The following is a 24,378-nucleotide window of genomic DNA, read 5'->3' as shown; positions in this document are numbered from 1 at the left end:
TGGTGGTGGAGGTGGTGGAGGTGGGTGGGGGTGGGCATTTATTTGAGCAATAACGAGGGTTTCTCAAGTGGGAGGAAAATAAAAATGTCTCCTGCTGAGTCCTAGATTTGCCGCAGAACAGCAGCAGAAGCAGCCCCATCAGTCTCCCCGACCCCTGACTGGACTCTATACCCCCGGGGCCAACGCTCCCAATTCAGAGTCAGTCTCCAACCCCTGCAACATGAGCTCATGGAACCTGCTAAGTTCATGGAATAAGCTCATGGAACTTATTTTAGGACGTTATTTCTGTATGTACCTTCTCAAGGCCATGAGTGCCCCGGGCAGGAGTCAGGCCATACACCTCACCGGATGGGAAGTGCCTATCGCGGGCGCTGGAGATCAGGAGGCGTCTGGTAAGTGACGAATGCACGGATGGGCACATGAACAAATGGGTGCATGAATAAATGAATTTATTAAGAAATTGTTTAGTAAATACACTGTCTTTCAGGCTTGAAAACTCATCCTTCATTTTATGATATTAGCGACGCAAAACCATTGGTAAAACAGGGTAATTTTTCTTCATTTTGGAAGACACACTGAACTTTGGTTTTTAAGAATGTTATGAGAAGTGAAGTCCAAATAGTTTCAAAAACTGTTTTTATGTAGCTTTTGTTAAATATTCCTCTAATAATCATTCATGTGGTTGGTGTCTGATTAATAGGTAAATCACGTGTCCAGATAGAAATCCAAATCCTAATATTCATGTAGATTACATTTTATCATGTGCCGGGTGAGAGTGGGAAGTAGAGAGAGGAAGTCAGGAAAAGGCAGGACGCACACTTGGGCCACGCAGCCGTCGGCAGAAGCTGCCACCAGCAATACAACACTCAGCAGAGGCTGCCACCAGGAACACACAACACTCGGCAGAAGCTGCCCCCGCGGCCACACAGTCCTTGGCAGAGGCTGCCACCAGGAACACACAACACTCAGCAGAGGCTGCCACCAGGAACACACAATACTCAGCAGAGGCTGCCCCCGGGGCCACACAGTCCTTGGCAGAGGCTGCCACCAGGGACAGCTCCGTGTGCACCTCCAGAGACACAGACCTGACTTGGGTAGAACAGCAAATGTTCCAGGATGAAAGCATTTCCTGCATTTTCAAGCCATTTGCATTTGCCATGGGGCTTTGACTTACCTTTCAGTTTATCGCTTCTCAAGAACCCCTTCATTAAGTAATTCCTGTATTTTTGGTTATGCAGGGTTAAAATTTGAATCCTCTTTTGACAAATAAGGATACTCACGTGTTTAGATTTAAGGAGCTCACCAAGGCGTACACACAGCTGGTGATGAGAGATGGGGTCCTGGTGCTGAGTCCAGTGTACTCCACGGCCATCATGCAACCTGAGTATACGTGTTAAGCAGCCCTTGCTTTAGGGACCCACTGCAGCTGGATCAGTGAATTCCTTTTACTTCAAAGTAACAGCTATCGGACACCCCCCGCTACTCATTCTCAACAATGTCACCTGTTATGGGAGACAGGCATAAAAACATAGAGCCAGCATATGGCTCATGGAATGATGAGAGGGTCTTTGCCTTTCACAGGTGCATTAGCACCAAGAGGCCTGCTTGTCCAGCTGGAAATGGTTTTGAGAGGTGCAGACACCCAACTGCAAGCTTCATGGTGCATCTGTGCCACTGCATGCAGCTGACGAGGAGCCATACATGAGCTATTTTGCCCAAAGCATCGATGGCATGGCTCCCATTGCAATCCAGCAACAGGAAGCATGGTGAAGAGTGGCCGCTGTCCCCATGAAGATGAGCAATGTGACCCACAGACCAGCCAAGGAACCAGCTTCCTCACTGTGAGCAATGCACACAGTTTTCCACTGTCTCCCCTGGTAGGAGGAGACCCTGAGCAACAACATCAGGACGTGTAAATGACTAATCATGTGCTCTTCAGGAGCGGAGATTCTCACCATGGCAGGTCACTCCTCTTCCTGGACACGGGGTGAGGCCGCGTTCCCCAGCCCCTCGCTGTGAGGTGCAGCTGTGTGACCAAGTCCTGGCCAGGAGACTGGGAGGGAGAGTGATGGCCACCACCTCTAGGCCTCCTCTGAAATCTCACCAGTTCCTCCCAGCTTCCTTGTTTATATTCTACCTGCAGATGTCCATGGAGCTACTGGAGCCCAGGGGAGGATCCCAGATTCCTGGGCGGTGTTGTGGAGCACAGCCCTCATCTGGCCTAGGTTTGACAGTCATGCAAGTGAACAATACGTTCTTATTTTGGTAAGCTACTAAAATTCGGAGGCGTTGTTACAATAGTGAGCCTACTCTGAGGAATACATCATGTCTTTTATTTCCTATAACTTTAAACTCTTAGAAACTTGGAAATTGCCAATTCTCATCTTTTATTAACCATGGCTCAGTTTAGCAGAATGGATAGAAGCAATAACAATATCTGAAGCTGTGTGGGGCTAACTAAGACATGTGGCCTGGGGAATCCAGGCAGGGTGCAGTAGCTAACAGAGTACGTTTAGGTCTTTTTTGCCTAACAATGATTAAATGTCTGCCACATAGCTGCCGAAGGTGGAGGTAGAAACAATATTTAAGCACTGCAGGAAAACAGACGTTACCTACCACTGTAGTCAGCGTAGAACTTAGTAGGATGGGAAGCATTGGAGCAAGTTGAGCTCCTGGCACCAAGTTCCCAACTAGACAGGGGTCGTCCATAGGACAGGACCCCATGGAGGCAACAGTGATTCTCAGCGAAATGGGTGCTTGCAGCTGCGACAATGCAAATACTTACAGAGAAGCACACGAGCAGGTGTCCATCAGGCACCCAGCTTCAATCTGTAGTGCTTGGTCTGAAAAAATAAAGATATTCAAGGCATGAACTCACCTTCAGGCAGGGTGAAGTTGAATTGGGGACACAAGATTAATACAACTGAAATAACACCAAGCAAAACTAGAGAGAAGAAATACAGTTCTCATCTGCCCCTCACCACGAAGGCCACGTGACATCACGCAGAGAGCCCTACCCGGGCAGCAATGAGGTGGCCACACGTGAGCTGGGCCTTGCAAGAACCCTGAGCCCTGCAGAGCCTAGAAAGAGCCAAGGAGGGTCTGTGGGGATGGAAGGCCCTCGAGGCCATTCCTCCCGGACCCTTCATTTCCCCATCAGCACAATAAACACAGCATGCGGTGTGACCCCACCGTTTCACGAAGGTAAACTGAGAATACGCGTGAACGTGCCTTCTAGAAGGAAAGCACATGCGTATCTATGGTCTGTAATTATCCTCTTCCTACACTGAATTCCTGGACAACAGGGCCACACCTTTCACCTCTGAATCCACAGAGACTAGAAGAATGCCCAGCCCAAAGCAAGCACTCACTAAGTATTTTCTAACTTATTAAAAAGTATGAATGGACAAATGAACCTTTTTCTATTTCAAATTAGATGAAACTTCTGGTGAGATTAAAACAACATGACTTGTTCTGCGATAAAAATCACCCTTTCTCTACCCCCGCTTCTGGACAGACCTCTTCACAGCAAAACCCACGTGAACCTCGTCCAGCCACAGGCCGCGCGCAGCAACGCCTCCAGGTAAACCCACGTGAACCTCGTCCAGCCACAGGCCGCGCGCAGCAACGCCTCCAGGCAAACCCACGTGAACCTCGTCTAGCCACAGGCCGCGCGCAGCAACGCCTCCAGGCAAACCCACGTGAACCTCGTCCAGCCACAGGCCGCGCGCAGCAACGCCTCCAGGCAAACCCACGTGAACCTCGTCCAGCCACAGGCCGCGCGCAGCAACGCCTCCAGGCAAACCCACGTGAACCTCGTCCAGCCACAGGCCGCGCGCAGCAACGCCTCCAGGCAAACCCACGTGAACCTCGTCTAGCCACAGGCCGCGCGCAGCAACGCCTCCAGGCAAACCCACGTGAACCTCGTCTAGCCACAGGCCGCGCGCAGCAACGCCTCCAGGCAAACCCACGTGAACCTCGTCTAGCCACAGGCCGCGCGCAGCAACGCCTCCAGGCAAACCCACGTGAACCTCGTCTAGCCACAGGCCGCGCGCAGCAACGCCTCCAGGCAAACCCACGTGAACCTCGTCTAGCCACAGGCCGCGCGCAGCAACGCCTCCAGGCAAACCCACGTGAACCTCGTCTAGCCACAGGCCGCGCGCAGCAACGCCTCCAGGCAAACCCACGTGAACCTCGTCTAGCCACAGGCCGCGCGCAGCAACGCCTCCAGGCAAACCCACGTGAACCTCGTCCAGCCACAGGCCGTGCGCAGCAACGCCTCCAGGTAAACCCACGTGAACCTCGTCTAGCCACAGGCCGCGCGCAGCAACGCCTCCAGGCAAACCCACGTGAACCTCGTCCAGCCACAGGCCGCGCGCAGCAACGCCTCCAGGCAAACCCACGTGAACCTCGTCTAGCCACAGGCCGCGCGCAGCAACGCCTCCAGGCAAACCCACGTGAACCTCGTCTAGCCACAGGCCGTGTGCAGCAATGCCTCCAGGCAAACCCACGTGAACCTCGTCTAGCCACAGGCCGCGCGCAGCAACGCCTCCAGGCAAACCCACGTGAACCTCGTCTAGCCACAGGCTGCGTGCAGCAACGCCTCCAGGCAAACCCACGGGAACCTCGTCTAGCCACAGGCTGTGCGCAGCAGTGCCTCCAGGCAAAAGTTTTTAATTTTCTTTGGTTTGGGAATTTTATTTTATATTGGACTGAGTAACTCCGTTTCAAGGGCTATGTCTCCAACATGTTACAGTTCATGGAAAGGACACATCTGGAGTGTAATTTACAATGTATCTGGGCACATATGGTTTAAAAGTTATTTCTGAATGCTATACTGTGGGCCTTTTACCTTAAAATTATGTAGCATTTTCAGATTCAAAAGCAAGTGTTTGTGAGTCAGCTCTCACAATTTGTCTCAGTCTCAAAAGCAGATATTAAAGGTCCACATGAACCCAGGGATATTATGTTAACTGACTGTGTTTTCGTAGCAAGCGGCTGTATTTTAAAGGGAACTTAGCACTTGGAGGAAAGAGAAGCCTGGATGTTTAAGGCATGTCCTCTGGTTTCAGAGGATTTCAAGCCCAGTAGGAACCACTGCAGCATCCCCAAGCCAGCCTCATCTCATGACCTAGTTTTTACAAAAATGTGGCTAGAAATATTGAGAACTGGGAGTTTAAAATTCAAAACTTCAGCTAACTCTAGAAAGTCTTGCCGTGGATATAGAGACAGCTCTTTACAGAACTGAGGCACTGACGGAGCTTCTACAATTCCAACTTCCTTACAGGATTTAAACAACGACAACAAAGAAAAAAGCAAAAAACAAAAAAGTGGGAAAGGCTAAATCCTGAGTGATGAATACACAGACAGGAAGAAGACAGAAAACCCAGCTTTTCTCAGAGAACACAAAGATCAGGACGTCCACAGACTGGGGACTGTGAGCTTTCCAGCTCTGCTCTGTGGGCACATGGGTGGTGGGACAGCATTGACTTTTGTGTGATACTATAATAAGTTCTGTAAACTATACTTTTGTTTTTTAAGTTCAGAGTACAAATTCAGGTTTGTTACATAGCTACACTGTGTCATGGGGGTTTGCTGTACAGATTATCTCATCACCCGGGTATTAAGCCTAGTGCCCGTTAGTTACTTTTCCTGGTTCTCTCCCTCCTCCTAGGCCCCAGTGTCTGCTGTTCCCGTCTATGTGTCCCTGTGTTCCACCATTTATCTCCTACTTGTAAGTGAGAACGTGTGGTGTTTGGTTTTCTGCTCCTGTGTTAATTTGCTGAGGATAGTGATCTCCAGCTTCATCCATGTCTCTGCAAAGGACATCATCACGTCTTTTTTATGGCTGAATAATACTACACTTTCAATCCCATAATTTTTAGGGTTCTATGTTGAATGCATGCGTATTCACAGATGCTACAGTGTACATCTGTCTTTTCCTCAGGAAAAAGACCAGGAATCTGAAAGGACATCAAGGAGTGGCCATGAACGCACCATGTGCCATGAGGTCATGGAGACCATAACACGGCGGGGATGCTGGAGAAACTGCCCATGTCTTACCCTCCCAGGGACACAGTACTCTTCCTGGATACATGGAAGCATTCGTTCATTCATTTTACAAAATATATTGCTTTTCTATAAAGAACACAGGATTATAAAGATATATTAACTGTATCCCCAGCTGCCCCTAAGAATGTTACTGAGACAGACCAAAACTAAAATACTAACAGCAACCAACTAGACACGCAAACAACCAAAACACTCACCCTGTCCCACGCTAAGGGAAACAGCGGGATCGTAGGGACCGGTGTCCAAACAAGACTACGTGCTTAGGGATGGTTTAGTAAAAAGTAGAGCTTGAGAGAGAACTTAATGGAGATAAAGAAGCTAGCAGGGTGAAAACACGGATTGCTGGCATTCTAGGAAAAGGAAATACCATTTCTGGAGACACAAATTTATGTAAATGCATGGCATATTTGGAGAATATAAATAATTTCTGTGAATAAAATACATCAAATTAGATAAATACAGCTAAATAGTATAAGCTTTATCCTAAGGGTTATGGAGAGCCATGAAAAGGACCTCACTGCCCCACATATAACGTGGAAAACTCACTCATGTGGCAGGCAGCCTAGGGAGAATCTGGGTGGGACATGTCTGGAACATCACTGCACTTGCGTTAAGTAATGACTACTGGGGTGAAGAATGGGAAGAAATTCAGAAGGAACTTCATGTATACAGGATTTGACCTGGGTCTGTAGGTCACGGAGGCTGCAATCATGGAAAGCAATGTTTGGAGTTGGCAATATGAAGTCCCAGTGTTTGGGGTCGTTCAGGAAATGCTCATAAGGGAACAGGAGGAAGAAGAGCAGCTTCTCTGTCCCGAGGCTAACACACCCAATCCATGCCTGGTGCTCACACAGACCTTCTGTCCACAGCACTGTGCGGCATCAGCCCCAGTAAGGGTGCTTGTCTCACTTGCTTTAATCTGGGCTTCCTGAAGGCAGGCACTTTATTAGGTGTTTAGTAAATGTTTGTTAAGAAAACAAACAAATGGATAAACTCCTCTCTTGCCTTGTGTCCATCTCACAGTAGAAAAGTGTGGACTTCCCAGTTTGCAATTAGCTTTCGTGAAAGTTACAACACATTTTGTAAATGAATGTGACATTGCAGTACTTTGTAAATGAATGTGACATTGCAGTACGTATGGCTTAATACAGCAACAAGGGAACCACAGCTGCCTCTAAGAGCTCTCCGGTTCACACTGAAGTGAATTTCCTTGGTCACCTGTTATCTCAGCCAGATATCTGAAATGTTCTTCATCTCTCAAACCAGCCACACAATTAGGTAGAGGCAAGACCCCAATAAAAAACAGATGCTGCCTGCTTCAGAAACAACGCTTTCTTGGGAACATAATTTCAAGGTCTGAAGCATGAGTTATTTCCCCAAAGCAATAGAATTGTTGATCATGTTAGATTCCCAAGAACATTATTTTTAAAAGCCTGCTGACAAAATTGGTTAGTGTATTTCAGCCCTGACAGGCGCTTAGTCAGAATGGTTTTGCTCTCCAGGGAAACACAGAAGGTGGAAATGCACAATTATTAGGATTGAGGTCACCGACAAAGCTCCTCTCATTGAAAAAAAAATTAATATAAATATATAAATTGCATGCACACATACATACGAAGTGTAGCTAAATTTCATTTTCCATTTCAATTCAAGATGCGGTTTTGTTTTCTGACAGATCTGTTCTTGTAGCAATCCTTCCTGTTATAATACAACAGCTTTATATCTTTTAAAGTATTAAAAGCAAATTCAGAAATGTGCCTTTTTACAGACAATTTTAACGTATTTTGTCCATCTTTGGTCTTAAAATACTAACTTTAACAATCAGGCAAAATCATCATAGCTCAGGTATCCCATTTAGCAATGACATCAAGTGGCGATTTACCCTGAAATTGTATGAAGACCACACAACCACCCAACGAGAGTGCCATCATCAGCGTGGTGGGGCGGGAGCTTTCTGCCGTCATCAGCGTGGTGGGGCGGGAGCTTTCTGCCGTCATCAGCGTGGTGGGGTGGGAGCTTTCTGCCATCATCTGCCTGCAGAAGCATCAAGTTTTACAACTAACCACGCAAGAGAAGGTCCAGCACACTGAAAGAACAAAAAATCCAAGAATGAATGCTTTGAAGTGGGCAAAAAGCACAGTTTCAGCTTATCTGCCTCACTCCTCCTGCCAGGCAGCATAGCTCGGTGCCAAGGGGAACCCCCTCAGCCCATGATCTCCCTGATGGGGGAAAGTGAGAGTATAGTGAGTAAGCACCCAGCCCCCCCAGCACTGGCGGACTCTGCCCAAGAGGCCCACCTTTTTCTTGCTCCACCTGGAACACTGAGGTTAACAGCACGGCTGTGTAGTTGGGAGATACTGGGAGCAGAGAAGAGAGATGGGTGCTCTACCAACATTCTGCAGACTCCATGAGGAAGCCCGCCCATAAATCACCCAGGACACCCACATGTGGACCCCCCAAACAGACCCATGGGCACCCCAAGGACTACATACAGCTCGTCTCCCCCGTACCTAAGCTGGCTTCCCAAGCATGCCCCTGCAGACAGCGCGTGCAAGCATAGCCAGCGGACACTCAGCTCAACTCGGCAGAATTTGGAGAAGACACACATACATCAGCATTTCAGGGCATCACACTGGAGAAAACAAATGGGAGGCTTTTAGCACCTGTCCTGGACTTTGCACAATCAGAAGGCATACAATCTTAAGAACTTCCTGTCAAGAAGGAATATGAGGGATTAAGCAGATGCATGCACAAAAAAGATCTCATATAGCCTCAGAATCCAAAACAGAGCTGATTGGTGAAGGTATTTCTCTCCTGAAGCAAGTCAGTAAAGACTGAAGGAGGTGACCGCTTCTTCAAATGTGCCAACATCAATGCAAGACTTCGAGGAACATGAAACAATCAAGGAAACATGACACCACCAAAGGAGCATAATAATATTCCTATAACCAACGCTAGAGAAATGGAGATATACAAACGGCCAGAAAAATTCAAAATAATTGTGTTAAGGAGGCTTGGTGAGCTACAACAGAACACAGACACTCAACAAAATTTAAAAGTAATACATAAATAAAATAAGAGGCTCAATACAGATATAAAAATCCTTTTAAAAACAAAATGAAAGTTCTGGAGCTGAAGAGTAAATTAATGAAAGCTTAAAAGGCAATGGACAGCATCAATATCTGGCTTAAACAGAAGAAACTTGAAGACATGGCATTTAGAAACATTCAGTTGGTGGGAAAAAAAGATTGAGAAATTCTACAAAATGTATGGGACACCATCAAGAAAGCTATAATTCATACTACAGAGGTCTAAAAAAGAGAAAAAGAGGGAGAAAGCTTATTTTTAAAAATAATGGCTTCAAATTTAGCAAATCTTTGAAAAGGTAAGGACATTCAAGTATGTGAAGCTAAAATGTCTCCAATTAAGTTCAACCCAAAGAAGACTTCACCAATACACATTATAATAAAACTTTCAAAAATCAAAGACAGAGAATTTTGAAAGCAGCAATAAAAGAAAGGAAATCAAATAGAAGGGAGCCCCTACAAGGCTACTAGAGGATTTTTCAGCAGAAACCTAGAGGGCCAGGACAGAGGAAGATGCTACATTTGAAATGATGAAAAAAAGAAAAAAAAAAATAAACCTCAATCTGACAAGCAAAAAGACTTCACCTGGAAATGCAGTCTTTTAGAAATGAAGAAGAGATGAAGACTTTCCCAGTCAAACAAAAGATGAAAAAGTTCAGCACCAATATAACTGCCTCACAAGAAATGCTAAAGGGAGTTCTTCAAGTTGAAACAAAAGGACACTAACTGACAACATGAAAATATAAAGTACAAAACTGACTGGTAAACACATGTAGTCAAATTCAGAATACTTTAACGATATAACGATGTGTAAATAACTTATAACCCTATTAAAATATTAAAAGACAGAAATATTAAAATCACTATAGCTAGAAACATTTGTTAATGGATACACACATAAAAATATGTAAATTGTGACATCAAGAATATAAAATGCTGAGAGCGGGAGTAAAAGTGCAGAATGTTTTGATTCAATTGAAGTTAAGTTGTTATCAATTTAAAATAGGTTGATATAACTATAAAACGTTTTACTTAGGCCTCTTAATCATCACAAAGCAAACTATGGTAGATACACAAAAGATAAAGGAATCAAAGGATACTACTTCAGAAAAGCATCAAATCATGAAGAAAGACAACAAGAGAGGAAGAAAGAAACAAAAGGTCTACAGAAAAGCCAGAAAACAATTAACACATGGGCAATGGTTAATCCTTATCTGTCAATAATTGCCTTGAATATAAATGGGTTAAATTTTCCAATCAAAAGACATAGATGGGCTAAATTGATTAAAAAATAAAAACAAGATCAACCACCTGCTGCCTACAAGAGACTCATTTCAGCTTTAAGAACACACATAAGCTGAAAATGAAAGAAAGGAAAAATATATTCTATGCAATTGGAAACCAAAAAATAGCAAGGGTGGCTATACTTATAGTAGACAAAATAGTCTTTAAGTCAAAAACTATACCAAGAAACAAAGAAGGTCATTATATAATGATAATGGGGTCAATTCATCAAGAGGATCTAACAATGATAACCATATATGCATCCAATATCAGAGCACCTAAATATAGGAGCAAATATTAACATATTTGAAAGGATAAATAGTCTGTAATATAAGGGGCTTTGACACACGCCCCATTTTCAATAATGCACAGATCATCTAGATAGAAAACCAACAAGGAAACATTGGACTTGATCTACACTTTAGACTAAACGTACCCACAGACATATACAGAACATTCCATCCAGTGGCAGCAGAATACTTATTCCTCACAAGACACTCAAAACACACTCCAGGATACATCATCTGTTAGGCCACAGAACAAGTCTTAATAATTTTTAAATTATATCAAACATCTTTTCCAACCACAATGGTATGAAATTGTAAATCAATAACAGGAAAAGTGGAAAATTCAAAAATATGTGAAAATTAAACAACCCATTCCTGAGCAGCCAATTGGTCAAAGAAATAAAAATTGAAAATAACATGAGACAAATAATGGAAATATGATGTAAAAAAACTTATAGGATGCAGCAAAATCTGTTGTAATAAGTTTATAGTATTAAATGCCTACATGAAAAAAATACCTAAATAACCTAACGTTATACTTGAAGGAACTGAAAAAAAGAACAAACTAAGCCCAAAGTTAGTAGAAGAAAGGAAACAACAAGGACCAGCAAAAATGTAAATGAAATAGAGTCTAGAAAAACAATAGAAAACATCAACAAAACTAAGAGTTGGGGTTTTTGTTGAAAAGATAAGCAAAATTAACAAACTTTTTGCTAGAGTAATAAAGAAAAAGAGAGGAGTCAAATGAATAAAAACGAGAGAGGATACATTAAAACATACCATATAAATGCAAAGGATCAGTACAGACTACAATGAACAATTACATTCTATCAAATGGGTAACCTAGAAGAAACAAACCAATTCTTAGAAAGATACAACATATGAAGACTGAATTATGAGGAAATAGAAAATCTGAATGGACCAGTAATTAGGGAGATTGAATCAGTAATCAAAAATTGCCCACCAAAGAAAAACCCAGGATCTGATGGCTTTGCTGGTGAATTCTACCAGGTATTTAAAGAAAAATTCACACCATCTTTCTCAAACTTTCCCAAAACCTTGAAGAGTAGGGAAGAATTCCAAACTCATGTTATGAAGCCAGCATTACCCTAATACCAAAGTCAGACAAGGACATTACAAGAAAAGAAAATTACGTCTATATACCTGATGAATGTAGATGCAAAAATACTATGCATAATAGTTTTAATTTATTTCCATAAATAAATGGATACTCCATGTTCAAGCATCAGAAAATAAATATTGTCAAAATAGCATCACTATCCAACATGATCTACATGTTAAATATAATCTCTGTCAAAATTTCAATGGCATTTTCAGAGAACTTAAAAAAAAATCTATTCTAAAATTTGTATGGAATCACAAAAGATCCCAAATAGCTAAATCAATGTTGAGGAAAATGAACAAAGCTGGAGGTGTCACACTTTCTGATTTCAAATTATATTGCAAAGCTATGGTAATCAAGACAGTATGGTTAGTACCACACAGACCAGTGGAAACAGATGCATGGACCAATGGAACATAACAAAAGTCCAGAAATAAATCCATGCATTTATAGTCAACTAATCATTAGCAAAGAGACCAAGAATACACAATGGGCAAAGGAGAGTCTCTTCAATAGATGGTGTTGGGAAAACGTAACATCAACACTTAAAAAAAAATTAAGATTCTTAGCTTACACATACAAATCAGCTCAAAATAGATTAGAGATTTAAACATGAGAACTGAAACCACAAAACTCTTTAAAAAAATCACATGGGGAAAAGATCCATGACATTGGTCTTGGCAATGATTTTTGGATGTGACACTAGAAGCACAGGCAAGGAAAGCAAAAATAGAGAAATGGGATTGCATCAAACTAAAAAAGCTTCTGTGTAGGAAACAATTGACAGAGTGGAAACAACCTGAGACAAAATGAGGGGAAACATTTGCAAATCCTATATCACATAAGGGGCTAATGTCCAAAATACATAGGGAACTCATACAAGTCAAGAGCCAAAAAAAAAAAAAAAAAGCAAATAACCCAATTTAAAAATGCAAAGGATCTGAATAGACATTTTTCCAAAGAGGACATACAAATGACCTAGAGGTCTATGAGGAGGTGCTCAGCATCACTAATTGTGAGAGAGATGAGACTCAAAACCACATGAGATAATATCCCACCTGTTAAGATGGCTAATACCCAAAAGTCAGAAGATGTTGGTGAGGATTTGGCAAAAATTGAATCCTTGTATACTGGTGGTGAAAGTGTAAACTGGTACAGCAATGATAGAAAACAGTATGAAACCATTTTTTAAAAATTGAAAATAAACTGTCATCATAACCACCAATAGTCCATTCATGTATTATCCAAAGAAAATAAAAGCACTATCTGGAGGACATGTCTGCACTCCCACACTCACTGCAGGACCATTCACAATATCCAAGGTATCAAAATGACCTAAGTGTCCATTGATGGATGAATGGGTAAAGGGATGTCATATGATGGAATATTATTCAGCCTTAAAGAAGAAGGAATTTTGTCATTTGCAACAACATGAAAAAACCTGGGTATATTATGCTAAGTGAAACAAGCCAGACACAGAAAGACACATACTGTATGATTTCATTTGTCTGAGGAATCTAAAAACAGTCAAACTCATAGAAGCAGAGTAGAAGAGTGGTTATCAGGAACTGGGGCAGGGAGTGGAAAAATGATGAGATGTTGGTCAAAGGGTACGAAGTTCATTTATCAGATGAGTAAGTTCTGAAGACCTAATGTTTATCATGGTCACCATAGTTAATAATAATGTATTATTTGTATGTACATATATTTGTACAATGTATACTTGGAATTTACTAAGATGGTAGATCATAAATATTCTCATTCTCTACACACCCAAAAAGGTAACTATATGATGAGATGTCATGGATGTGTTAACTAATTTGATTATAGTAATCATCTCACAAAATTTACTTATTTCAAAACACCACATTGTGTATATACAAATATATAGAGTTTTGTCAATTACACCTCAATAAATCTGGAAAAAGGTATTGGTAATAAATGTGAAACCCATATTACATAATGGGGATTGTGTCAGTTGACTGTGTGGTTTCAAAGATGAGAATCTATAAATCATGTGCGGTAGGTTCCAATATCAGCCTCTATCTGCTCTTCACTAAGAAACTGATGAAAAATTTCCAGATTAGTTATGGGATTTTATAGAAATATTTTGGATGGGAGAGATAAATCTATACAGATCACCATCTCAAGTGAAACATAAAAATAATATCCAAATTATTAAAAAGCCAAGATAAAAAGGAATGAACACAGTGGTAAAGCACAGTGCAGGACAGTGGTGTGGACAGTGAGGATGTTGGTGTGGACAGTGGAGGATGGTGTGGACTGTGAGGATGGTGGTGTGGACAATGAGGATGGTGGTGTGGACAGTGAAGATGGTGGTGTGGACAGTGAAGATGGTGGTGCAGACAGTGGAGGATGGTGTGGACTGTGAGGATGGTGGTGTGGACAGTGAGAATGGTGGTGTGGCAGTGAGGATGATGGTGTGGACAGTGAGGATGGTGGTGTGGACAGTGAGGATGGTGGTGTAGACAGTGAGAATGGTGGTGTGGCAGTGAGGATGATGGTGTGGATGGTGAGGATGGTGGTGTGGACAGTGAGGATAGTGATGTGGACGGTCGGTGGGGATACTGGTGGGGACAGTGAGAATGGTGGAGTGGAGGGTGAGGATGATGATGTAAATGGTGAGGATGGGGGTGTGGATGGTGGAGGATGGTAGCATAGACAGTAGAGGATGGTGGTGTAGACACTGGTGGATGGTGGTGTGGACAGTGAGGATGGTGGTGTGGATGGTGAGAATGTAGAGGTGAACAGTGAGAATTATGGTGTAGACACTGGTGGATGGTGGTGTGGATGACGAGGATGGTGGTGTGGATGGTGAGGGTGGTGGTTTGGATGGTGGAAGATGGTTGTGTGGATGGCAAAGATGGTGGCAGGGATGGTAAGGATGATAGTGTGGACAGTGTGGATGGGGGAGGATGGTGGAGCAGACGGTGAGGATGGTTGTGTTTGTGGTGATGGTGGTGTGGACAGTGTGAATGATGATGTAGACACTAGTGGATTATGTTATGGATGGTAAGAGTTGTGGTGCGGATTGTTGGATGGTGGTTTAGACAGTGGAGGTTGGTGGTGTGGACACTGGAGGATGGTGGTGTGGATGAGGATGGTGGTGTAGACAGTGGAGGATGGTGGTCAGGATGGTGAGAATGCTGTAGAGTCTGTAGATATGTTGGAGACAGAATTTCGAGGCATTGCTGGTGGTGTTTGTGTGAGGAAAGAGAACACAATAGGAAGGACATTAAGATTCTGCTTGGAGTAATGGATTCGTGTGGGTGACTCACCTTTTCTTCAAAAGAGCAGTGCTTCTGAGCCTCTGCACACTGACACAGGGCATCCTTGCGTTGAAAGTCCTCTGCTCTGTAAACCCCAAGTCTTCTTTCTTCAGGGCTGGTTTTTTTTGTTGTTGTTTGTTTGTTTGTTTGAGACAGAGTCTCACTCTGTCCCCCAGGCTGGAGTGCAGTGGCGTGATCTTGGCTCACTGCAACCTCTGCCTCCCAGGTTCAAGTGATTCTCCTGCCTCAGCCTCCTGAGTAGCTGGAACTACAGGTGTCTGCCACCACGCCCAGCTAATTTTTGTATTTTTAGTAGGGATGGGGTTTCACCATGTTGGCCAGGCTTGTCTCGAACTCCTCACCTCAGATGATCTGCCCACCTCGGCCTCCCAAAGTGCTGGGATTACAGGCCCGAGCCAGCATGCCTGGCCTCTTCAGGGCTGTTATAAAAGAGGCCACATAGGCGGCTGCTGTGACCTCTGCTTATGCAGAATAAACGCACTGTTCCTCTGAGCTCCTCCGTCTCTGCGTGCACAGTAGCAGTCCATGTCGCACATCTAACTCGTGTCAACTGATTTTTCCACAGCCTGTTAGACAAAGGATTTTTTAAAGAAGAGAGTATGTCCTTTTTTCTCTGTACCCAAATATCTCCATTTCCTGTAAAAAATGCCATGCACTGGTGAATGGGGAACGGACACACGTGTATGTATTTCCCACGGCATCATAAGCTGACATGCCCAGGTGTTGTTGGATGAACCGTTCCTTATATTTGGGCACAGAGCCTACACGAGAACTTTCAGATAATATTTCCTTTTGGCCTTACTGCTGTGCCTAGATTAGCTGCGATTCTTCAAAGACATTTGTTTATTTAATCATCATTGACCTTACTCTTCAGCATCTTTTTGGTTGTTTAGTTTGAAAAGTCATGTCGGCTTTGTTACACATCAGTCCCCTCTCACCTGGACCATAACTCTTTCACACAATTGAGTCATCCAATAACATGCCTCCTCCTACATCCCACATTTAAAACTTGAGGGATTTAAAAAGAAAGTTTTTTTTTAAGTCAGAGGAGGGAAATAAAACAAGATTCCATAAACTCAGCAAGAACTCTATTTAAAAAAACTTCTCATTTACAAAACTTTGAAAAGATTGAATATCCAGTATCATCAAAAGATGGCTTCAATAATTAGAAAACTATTTGCTTTGGAAGTGTTGAGTTCAACACATAATGTAATTTCTGTCCACTGCATGAATGACAATATTGGCAGCAACACATTTTACGATGCAGCTGCATTTCGTCCAAAGCTTTATGATTGTAAAAGCACGGCAAAACATGGCACTTCATAGGCTAGTGTTTTGGGATATTTTTGCAAAATCTGCATTTAAGATTTTAAAAGCTTAACTTTTGCCCAGCAAATTCATAACTCATATGCATATTACTTTTTCGCCTCAGCCACACAGTCCTACACTACGGCTGGAGCTGAGTGTGTATGGAAGACACAGCCACACTTCCACACTCCACACCTGCATGCTTCCTGCCACTGAGGAACCTATGAAACGTGCCGTGAGGGATGAAGTCCTGTCCAAAGACATGCTTTGGAGGACGTGGCCGAATGCAAATAAGTCTTTCTGAGTGAGGACCCATCAGACACATGGTCATCTCACAGCAGGGCTAGTGCAGGTGAGGGGTTGAGCTGCAGGGAGAGTAGACGTGGGCTTGGAGGGTTTTGGGGGGGGTTCTGAGGAGGACCTGGCATCCGGAGCCACTGGGACAGGGACTGAGCACCAGCCGGGGTAGCTGAGAGGGTCACCAGCCCTTCCTTGCTGCTCACAGGCTGAAGTGGAGTTGCGCTTCTGCTTCTTGCCCATAATACAGCCACGGTCAATTAAACTAACACCCTGAAACCAGACGCAGCCAATCCAGAGTGAGCCTCAGTCGTGTTAGCCTTTATAGTAAGGGTGACACTCTCTGGCATGCATTCTGCTGGGACCCGGAGGCACAGGGACAGACATGTATGTGAGGTCCACACAAGGAAAAAGGTCCACTGGTTTGGGTCAGTTAAGGTTTCCACAGCATGATTATTGGCCAGGTCAACTCCAGAAAGTGCGTTGTCAGTATTTCTCAAAAGCACTAACATTTAATTTTATTGCTCTTCCTGTTTTGCAAAGTGGCGTCATCACTATTACATCAAACACGACTACTCAAGCAGTGGCTGAAGATTTAAAGGAGCTTCACCACCTGTGCCCAGCAGCAAAATAAGATTTGATCTTTTATAGCATCTTGCTTGATAAATAACTAACAAGCTTCCCCTGAACCGTGGACCACATTCCTTTAATTCAAGTTTTAGAAATGAATGACTGTGTTAATTCCACACATGTCCCCTAGCATATTATGTCTAACTCACAGAATCAAGGGTAATTTCGGTTGTATAAATGCCGTTAATGCCTTCCAGCCACACCCCAGGAGCACACCTGCAGTTGGACAGCTGGGCTCATGAATGGTTGCAGCAGGGAGGACTCACCCTGGGGAGCCGCAGGTTGTCAGGAAGGGGGTGTCAGGAAGGACTTATCATAGGGTTTGGCTTGTGCTTGGTAATTTGGGGGTGGGGTTAAGGAAGCAGGATTTTCTGTGGATTGGATCTCCTCAGGAAGCAGGAGTAATTTTACAATTTGGTCTCAAATATATCCCCTTTAGGAAGAGGGAAGACGAGACTGGGCAGAACTGGTAAAGATGTAGCCACCCCTCACATTAGCTAGAAGAGGGGATTGGGGATTCTGTGGCTTGAACAATGTTCCCGTTTTGTCTGTACTCTGGATGATTACTGGGGGGTCGTTTTTGTCTTAAATCATGATTGGCATTGTCTGATGTTTATGTTCTCCGAGTTGTCCAACAGGAGAGTACAAAGCATGTCCCCAAGGCACAAGGCCACTCCTGGCTGTCAGGGGCTGCTTTTTCATTCTTAAATTTCACAACTGTGAACTTACAACCCTACAGTCAGATGGCCAGGAGAGGTCAGGTGCTATGTGGAAGGTTGGATCGCCACCATCTGCACAGAGACCAAGCATGGTCTGTTCTTCCTGCTGACTGTCTGTGGCACTGTCTCCACCCAGCACATCACACAGGCTGTGAGCTCCATGTGTCCTGAGGCCTGAAGGATGACTTCTAACTGGGGCTCCCTGGGCCTCATCGCATTTCCTTTGGAAGTGTTTAGTTCAACACATAATGTAATTGCTGTCCACTGCATGAATGACAATATTGGCAGCAACACATTTTACGATGCAGCTGCATTTCGTCCAAAGCTTTATGATTGTAAAAGCACGGCAAAACGTGGCACTTCATAAGCTAATGTTTTGGGATATTTTTGCAAAATCTGCATTTAAGATTTTGAAAGCTTAACTTTTGCCCAGCAAATTTATAACTCATACACATATTACTTTTTCTCCTCAGCCACACAGTCCTACACTATGGCTGGAGCTGAGCATGGATGGAAGAGATGGCCACACATCCACACTCCACACCTGCATGCTTCCTGCCACTGTGGAACCACTGAAATGCCAAGGTCTCTTTTGAAATTACCACTGGAGTCCCAGACTTCAGGCCCTGCAGGCATTTGAGTTTTCTCTGTCTTCATTCCCTTGATAACCAACCCAGGGACGATTCTAAGTCAGGTGCTCTGGGGCCAGACCAATCACTGGTGTGTTTTCAAAGATTCTCAGCTAATTCCAATGTGTAGTCAAGATCGAGGGCCGCTGCTTTAGGATATGACATCAGAAGACATCAGATTGAGGACCAGTTCTGCTAAACTACTAATAAACCATTTTTCCTGGTTATCATTGTAAGACTCAAATTAACCATGAATGTACAATCACTTTCTGTCCTGCACGGCCTCCAGGAGCCTGACTTATGGATTCCTTCAATAATGTTGGAATGCTGCGCCTGAGGAAAGTGAGGGGCTGGCAGATCCACTCAGCTACTATTCTGTCATGACTTTCAGTTCAGCCTCAGCTTCCAAGTTTGCTTGTCTCACCAAGGGTCTGTGAAAAACTAGCCTCCAAAAATTAGCCAGAAAAGCTGGAGAAGATCCTGTATTTGAAAGCGTCATGATATGGTTTGGCTTTGTCCTCACCCAATTCTCATCTTGAACTGTAATCCCCATAATACCCATGTGTCTAGGGAAACACCTGGTCAGAGGTGGTTGGCTTATGGGGAATATTTCCCCCATGCTGTTCTCATGCTAGTGAGTTCTCAGGAGACCTGATGGTTTTATAAGGAGTTCTTCCCCCTTCACTCCTCACTCCTCTCTCCTGCTGCCATCTGAGAAGGTCCAAGCTTATCTTTCACCTTCCCCCATGATTGTAAGTTTCCTGAGGCCTCCCCAGCCAGGTGGAACTGTGAGTCAATTAAACCTCTTTCCTTTATAAATTACCCAGTCTCAGGTATTTCTTTACAGCAGTGTGAAAATGGACTAATAAGGTAAATTGGTACCAAGATTGGAGTGCTACTATAAATATACTTGAAAATGTGGAAGTGACTTTGGAACTCGTTAATGGACAGAGGCTGTAACAGTCAGAGGGCTCAGAAGAAGACAAGAAGATGTGGGAAAGTTTGGAGTTTCCTAGAGACTACGAAAATGCTGGTAGTGATGTGAACAATGAAGTCCAGGCTGAGGTGCTCTCAGATGGAGATGAGGAACTTATTGGGAACTGGAGCAAAGGTGACGATGGAGATGAGGAACCTGTTGGGAACTGGAGCAAAAGTGACTCTTGCTCTGCTTCAGCAAAGAGACTGCTGGCATTTTGCCCCTGCCCTGGGATCTGTGGAACTTACAACTTGATGGAGATGCTTTAGGGTATCTGGTGGAAGAAATTTCTAAGCAGCAGAGCACTCAAAATGTGACCTAGGTGCTCTTAAAAGCATGCAGTTATATTCATTCACAAAGAGATGGTTTGGAATTGGAATGTATGCTTAAAAGGGAAGCAGAGCATAAAAGTCTGGAAAATTTGCAGCCTAAAGATGTGATAGAAGAGAAAAACCCAATTTCTGGGGAGAAACTCAGGCTGGCTGCAGAGATTTGCATAAGTAACAAGGAGCTAAATGTTAATTGTCAAGAAAATGGGCAAAATGTCTCCAAGGCATGACAGAGACCTTCACAGCAGCACCCCATCCATTGCAGGCTCAGAGGCTTAGAAAGAAAAAATGGGTCTTGCTGCTTCATGCATTCTTGGGACTTGGTGGCCTGCATCCCAGCCATGGTTAAAAGGGGCCAGTTTATAGCTCAGGCCATTGCTTCAGAAGGGTGTAAGCCCCAAGCCTTGGCAGCTTCCACGCGGTGTTGGTCCTGTGGGTGCACAGAAGTCAAGAATTAAGATTTGGAAACCTCCACCTAGATTTCAGAGGATGTATAGAAATGCCTGGGTGTCCAGGCAAGAGTTTGCTGCAGGGATGGAGCCCTCATGGAGAACCTCTGCTAGGGCAGTGCAGAGGGAAATGGAGTTGGAGGAAAAGGGGTTGGAGTCCCCACACAGAGTCTCTACTGGGGCACTGCCTAGTGGAGCTGTGAGAAGAGGGCCACCATCCTCCAAACCCCAGATTGGTAGATCTACCAACAACTTGTACCATGCACCTGGAAAAGCCACAGACACTCAACACAAGCCAATGAAAGCAGCCAGGAAGTGGGCTGTACCCTCCAAAGCCACAGGGCAGAGCTGCCCAAGACCAGGGAGCCCACCTCTTGCATCAGTGTGACCTGCAAGTGAGACCTGGAGTCAAAGAACACTATTTAGGAGCTTTAAGATTCAATGACTGCCCTGTTGGATTTTGGACTTGCATGGGGCCTGTAGCCTCTTTGTTTTGGCCAATTTCTCCCATTTGGAATGGGAGCATTTATCCAATGCCTGTACCCCCATTGTATCTTGAAAGTAACAAACTTGCTTTTGGTTTTACAGGCTCATAGGCGGAAGGGACTTGCCTTGTCTCAAATGAGACTCTAGACTTATACTTTTGGGTTAATGCTGGAATGAGTTAAGGATTTGGAGGACTGTGTTTCAAAATGTGAGGACATGAGATTTGGGAGAGGCCAGGGGCAGAATTATATGATTTGCCTTTGTTCCCACCCAATTCTCATCTTGAATTGTAATCTTTATAATCCCCATGTGCCCAGGGAGAGACCTGGTGGGAGGTGATTGGATCATGGGGTCGGTTCCCCCCATGCCATTCTCGTGATAGTGAGTGAGTTCTCCCGAGATCTGATGGTTTTATAAGGGGCTCCGCCCCATTCCCTCTTCACTCTCTCCTGCTGGCACGTGAAGAAGGCCCAAGCTTGCTTCCCTCTGCCTTCTGCCATGATTGTTAAGTTTCCTGAGGCCTCCCCAGCATGTAGAACTGGGAGTCAATTAAATCTCTTTGCTTTAGAAATTACCCATTTCCAGGTACTTCTTCATAGCAGTGTGAAAACAGACTAATACACTCACCAAACTACTTGAAGAGAATTCCAAATGCAAAAATCTTCCCAAGCTTTTGAACAGCTCCTGCAGACAGAGAGAGCTAGGAAAGGCTGGTCCCTCAGGCCCATCACTGCTGAGGTGTGTGAGGGGCCACTCAGCATCTCCCATGCCCGTGCCAACCTGGACCCTGACAGACAGGCTGTGAAGATGGAGCTCGCTCACCTCTGGCCAGGTCAGTCAGCGGTTGAAGGCAGCCCTCCAGACAGCAGCATTCACTCAAGGACAGATGTGGGCAGTGCCCCAGAACTTACCATGTGCCCCCTCAATATTTAAAACTGATCCAGTGATACACACATTTTTTCCTGATCTTGAATTTTACCACAAACTGGAAAATAACTGGAAAGTTGTATTTTTGTTCAGAGGTTCTCTCTCTCTTTCAGGGCTGTCAGGGTGATTTCTTTACCACTATTCCCAGACTATAAGGCTGTTTTGATATGTAAATGCACTTTGTCATTATTTTAGATAGTATCAGGGTTCACTCAGCCAACACTGATGAAGGCACCAAGAGTTAAGTCCCTGCAGTTCCTGGTGCCGTGCTGAGGGGAGGATGATGCTGCTGGAGCTGACCCTGCAAGGTGCTCTTGGATCTAGAAAGGAGAAGCCTCTCTCCTGGCCTCAGGCCCAGTTGGTGGCTCTCAAATCTAGAAAAGAGGGGCCTCTCTCCCAGCCACAGGGCCAGCTGGTGCCACATCCCTCAAATCTAGAAGAAGAGGCCTCTCTCCTGGCCTCAGGCCCACTCAGTGGCGCTCAGATCTAGAAGGGAGAGGCCTGTCTCCCGGCCACAGGGCCAGCCAGTGCCCTATGTTTTGGAAAACTGGATGCTGGGGTCCTGCTTTCATTTCTCCAATCATGTCAGTCCCAAACATCCAAATCATTTTTGGCCTTCAACCACCAAGGTGAAACTCTAGCTCATATTCCTGTATTTGAATACCCATTGTGGTATTTATGAGATTATTCCTACAAGTGTAGGAAGAGAGGGAACGTCCTAGCATGTATGGAATTTCTACCAGGTGCCTGGATCAGTATAATAATTTTACTTGGTCCAAAGTAAATCCCTTCAGGTAAGTATTAATCTCCCCATTTCACTGATGTGAGTACTGATGCTAAGAGAAGTTGAAGTGTCCAAAGTCACACGGTCAGTCCATGGTGGGGCGTAGGACCACAGACCATTTTGATTCCAAAGCCTGTGTTCTTTTAGGATACACTTTTGTCACCTCAGGTGGAGAAACAAGAAGAGAGATGAAGGGCTGGCCCTGTCAGTGACAAGGAAGGAGTGTGTCTGTGACATCGTTACTACTAATACAAATATTAGTATTATTATTATTTAGCCACTACATTGGACCAGACATCACACAGAGTGACTTTCAAACATAGACATTTAAAATTTTCACAACCACCCTGCAGAGCGGGTGTTAGTATTTCCATTTTTATTTAAAGAAAAACTGAAACCCAAAGTGCTTTGTTTTCCTGGCCCAGGTTTCACAGCTGGGAGGCAGCACAGCGGGAGCCCATCCTTCTTGGCCCGGCTCCAGCCTCCACCGCCTTCCACACAGGCCCTGAGTTTGGGGGCAGAATTGCAGAGTGCCATTTCTACAAATCCATTGTGTGTATTTTATGGATTTTTCTAATCACCAGTTAATTCAAAATCCATCAGTGACATGCCATGGCCCCAGCCATGAGGAGCGCACAGTCTGAGACTCACATTCCTCACGCAGCTCTGGGGCTATGAACCCAGGGCCTGTCCCATCCTCCACAGCCTGGAGGCAGGGATGAGAGACATCAGTGATGGATTATGTCATTAGAAAGATAAGGAAAACTTCAGCGAGATGGCAGAGAAGCGCGAAGTGGGTGAAAGGTCCCCCCTACCTCCGACGTGGCCTGGAGACCTGTGCAAACCAGTTCTCTCAACGTGCCGCATGTTCCTTCTCACTTCCGGATCCTCTTGCCTGTGCCATGGTGTCTGTGGGATGGTCTGTGCCTTCTGCCTGGCTGACTCCCCACAGGGACCCCTTGTTACCCCCTGAGGCTGGCTGGGGTGCCTGTGTTGAGCTTCACTGTTGCAGCACCTGTTCCGTAGCCCTGTAATACTGACCTGTTCCATACCCTGTGGCCCTGGCCTGTTCTGTAGCCATGTAACCCCAGCCTGTTCCATAGCCCTGTGGCCCTGGCCTGTTCTATAGCCATGTAACCCCAGCCTGTTCCATAGCCGTGTGGCCCTGGCCTGTTCTGTAGCCAAGTAACCCCAGCCTGTTCCATACCCTGTGGCCCTGGCCTGTTCTGTAGCCATGTAACCCCAGCCTGTTCCATAGCCGTGTGGCCCTGGCCTGTTCTGTAGCCAAGTAACCCCAGCCTGTTCCATACCCTGTGGCCCTGGCCTGTTCTGTAGCCATGTAACCCCAGCCTGTTCCATAGCCGTGCGGCCCCGGCCTGTTCTATAGCCATGTAACCCCAGCCTGTTCCATAGCCCTGTGGCCCTGGCCTGTTCTGTAGCCATGTAACCCCAGCCTGTTCCATAGCCCTGTGGCCCTGGCCTGTTCTATAGCCATGTAACCCCAGCCTGTTCCATAGCCGTGTGGCCCTGGCCTGTTCTGTAGCCAAGTAACCCCAGCCTGTTCCATAGCCCTGTGGCCCTGGCCTGTTCTGTAGCCAAGTAACCCCAGCCTGTTCCATAGCCCTGTGGCCCTGGCCTGTTCTGTAGCCATGTAACCCCAGCCTGTTCCATAGCCGTGTGG

The 24,378-nt window shown here is 44.9% G+C and overlaps 1 protein-coding gene across 1 annotated transcript; it reads right to left on the bottom strand.

Moving 5' to 3' along the window:
* Window positions 1–432: 432 nt before the first annotated feature.
* Window positions 433–8,069, bottom strand: LOC124905962 (collagen alpha-2(I) chain-like). Its single transcript, XM_047446892.1, has 3 exons — window positions 7,982–8,069; window positions 3,417–4,657; window positions 433–2,843 (listed from the first exon to the last, which is right to left on the bottom strand). The coding sequence occupies exons 1-2, from the start codon at window positions 8,067–8,069 to the stop codon at window positions 3,498–3,500; spliced, it is 1,248 nt and encodes a 415-aa protein (XP_047302848.1). The 3' UTR covers window positions 433–2,843; window positions 3,417–3,497.
* Window positions 8,070–24,378: the final 16,309 nt, after the last annotated feature.

This window comes from Homo sapiens, chromosome 2 (genome assembly GCF_000001405.40).
Source record: "Homo sapiens chromosome 2, GRCh38.p14 Primary Assembly".
NCBI lineage: Eukaryota > Metazoa > Chordata > Mammalia > Primates > Hominidae > Homo > Homo sapiens.
This window is presented reverse-complemented; position numbering and strand designations above follow the sequence as displayed.